Genomic DNA, 2,914 nt, shown 5'->3' with positions numbered 1-2,914 from the left:
AAAGATCATTCGCTTATTATCAAGTGAGATTTATTCCAGAAATGTAAGGTCGGCTTAACATATGCAAATTAACAAATGTGATACATCACATTAACAGAATGAAGGATAAAAACTTATGATCATGTCAATAGAAGCGGAGGAAGCACTTTTCAAAATTCAACATTCTTTCATAACAAAAGCTCTCAACAAATTAGGTATAGAAACTATGTACCTCAACACAATAAAGATCATATATGAGAAAACCTCAGGTCATATTATATGAAATGGTAAAAATTTGTAAGCCTTTCCCCTAAGGTCTGAAACAAGACAAGGATGTCCACTTTCATCAACTCTATTCAACACAATACCAGAAGTCGTAGACAGAAAAATTAGGCCAGAGGAAGAAATAAAGGGCATCCAAGCTGGAAAGGAATAAGTCAAATTATTCTCTCTCTTTTTTTTTTTTTTGCAGATGATATAATCTTATATTTAGAAGCACCCAAAGACTCCACAAAAATTTCTTAGCTAATAAACTTATTCAGTGAAATTGCAGGATACAAATCAACACACAACATCAGTAGAATTTTTATAAACTAACAGTGATCAATCTAGAAAAAAAATGAAAAAAAATCCAATAGTTACAAAAGAAAAAAGATACCTAGAAATAAATTTAACCAAGGAAGTGAAAGATCTCTACATGAAAACTGTAGAACACTGATAAAAGAAACCGAAGAGGAAACGAATAGTAAAAAAATACTTTGTTTATGAATTAGAAGTATTAATATTGTTAAAATGTCCATACCAGCCAAAGTGATTTGTATGTTCAATACCATGTCTATCAACTACTAATGACATTCCTCACAGAAATATATTTTTTAAACTCTTAAAATGCATATGGAACTAAAAAAGACCCTGAATAATCAAAATAATCTTGTGTTGTTGTTTTTTTTTAAAAAGACAAACATACAAAAACAAAGCTTGAAGCATTGCACTACCTGATTTCAAAATATACTACAAAGCTATGGTAACCAAACAGCATGGTATCGATATAGAAACAGACTCATAGATCAACAGAACAAAATAGCCCAGAAATAAATCCACACATCTACTACCAACTGACTTTATTTTTCAAATTGTAAATGTATTTTATTTTGTAAGCAACAATCAAAATATATTGTACTACTGATTTTTTCAAATATTAAATGGGATATTAACAAAATGTGTCCACTTTTATGAATTATTGTATAACTTTAGAACCTGCAAAGACCCTAACTAAAGAAACAAAAGTAATTGCATAGGTGAGACTGAAGGTTACAGTGCTACAAATGATGCCAAATGTCTTACATTTAACCAAATACATCCCTTAACTTTGAGCATTAGGAACAACAGAGAAATGTCTACTGAAATCATCACTAATAAATCTTTTGTTGCTTCACTTAAATACAACAGTATTCAACATAGTTGCTAAACAATATTTGAAGTCATGACTAAATCCACTTGTTCCTCCAAGTGACATTAGTGTTCTGCTAGCCAACACCCTATTGCCAGCTGTTTAGGTGTCATCTCATCTTCTTCATCTACAGCCTTTTTGTAATTCTTGGCCAATTCCAGCATCTATTTTAATACTAAATCATTGCATTTATAATGTTCATTGTAATCCTGAAGTGTCAAACCTTCCATTCAACTCTTCTTATGCAAATTTAGCAACATCTTCTATTCCAGTTTATTTTTCTGATAGTTAACAGTAATAGAGTAATAATGTCTGTTTCATCCATCAATTATTGCCTGGATAGATGGCTTGTTTAAGTGACTCATATTTGAAGTTGTTAGTCTTGGTTCATGTACCAAGACCATCATATTAGCATTGATTAACCTGAAGGCATCACTAACAACCTTCCCTTTTACACTCCGAATGGAATCCACAACCACCGTCAAAGCTCCCTCTGACAAGCCTTCAAAACTCGGCTGAGTACTGATATCCACCCCAGAAACCCCAGCAACCAAGCCAAGTGACTGTGATGACAACCAGTAACCATCTCAGGCTTTCCTGTCTGATTCAATATATTCACGTTTTAGCTTGGAACATTAGATCAAATGCCTCCACACTGACACCTATGGCATAGCCAACATGTCAATCACTCTGATGGTATAATAATCAACAAATTCTCCAAGCTTCAGACCCGTAACTTCCATTGGAACTCCAGCATCTCCGTGCTTTAACATTTTTAACAGTGCCAGGGAAGAAATATAGACTTTTTCTGCTGTTTCCACTGCAGGAGCATCTGTAGGTGGCCACGACCCAGTCCAGGCATATCTTCTCCGAGTCTAAGAAGTCTTCCTATACTTCTGGTCAGTAACTACAATTATTAAGGCATTCAGCTTCAATTTCTTGGTTGACAAATTTCTTCTTTTTTTTTTTTTTTTTTTTTTGAGACGGAGTCTTGCTCTGTCGCCCAGGCTGGAGTGCAGTGGCGCCATCTCGGCTCACTGCAAGCTCCGCCTCCCGGGTTCACGCCATTCTCCTGCCTCAGCCTCCCGAGTAGCTGGGACTACAGGCGCCCGCCACCACGCCCACCTAATTTTTTGTATTTTTAGTAGAGATGGGGTTTCACTGTTTTAGCCAGGATGGTCTCAATCTCCTGACCTCGTGATCCGCCCACCTTGGCCTCCCAAAGTGCTGGGATTACAGGCGTGAGCCACCGTGCCTGGCCGACAAATTTCTTCTTAACGAAAGCTCTTGCTAATTCTGGCAGGTTTAATTTTCTCGTGTGATGTGACTCTCCAGAAGGCCAACAGGTGAGCAACGCCGCAGTCCGGACCTTTGTCTTGCCTCTGCGGTGAAGCGAAGACAGAGGCAGCAGTTACAGTGGCTGAGACTTAACCTAGTTCTTGTTCCACAAACCAGAGATGAATCAGCCCAATTCCATTCAAAAGA

At 36.9% G+C, this 2,914-nt stretch overlaps 1 pseudogene; it reads right to left on the bottom strand.

Moving 5' to 3' along the window:
• On the bottom strand, positions 1,216-2,388 carry PSMD14P1 (PSMD14 pseudogene 1; annotated as a pseudogene).

The sequence above is a fragment of the Homo sapiens genome, chromosome 2 (assembly GCF_000001405.40).
Source record: "Homo sapiens chromosome 2, GRCh38.p14 Primary Assembly".
In the NCBI taxonomy this organism is placed as follows: Eukaryota; Metazoa; Chordata; class Mammalia; order Primates; family Hominidae; genus Homo; species Homo sapiens.
The sequence above is the reverse complement of the archived record's forward strand: the minus strand, read 5'-3'. Positions and strand labels throughout refer to the sequence as shown.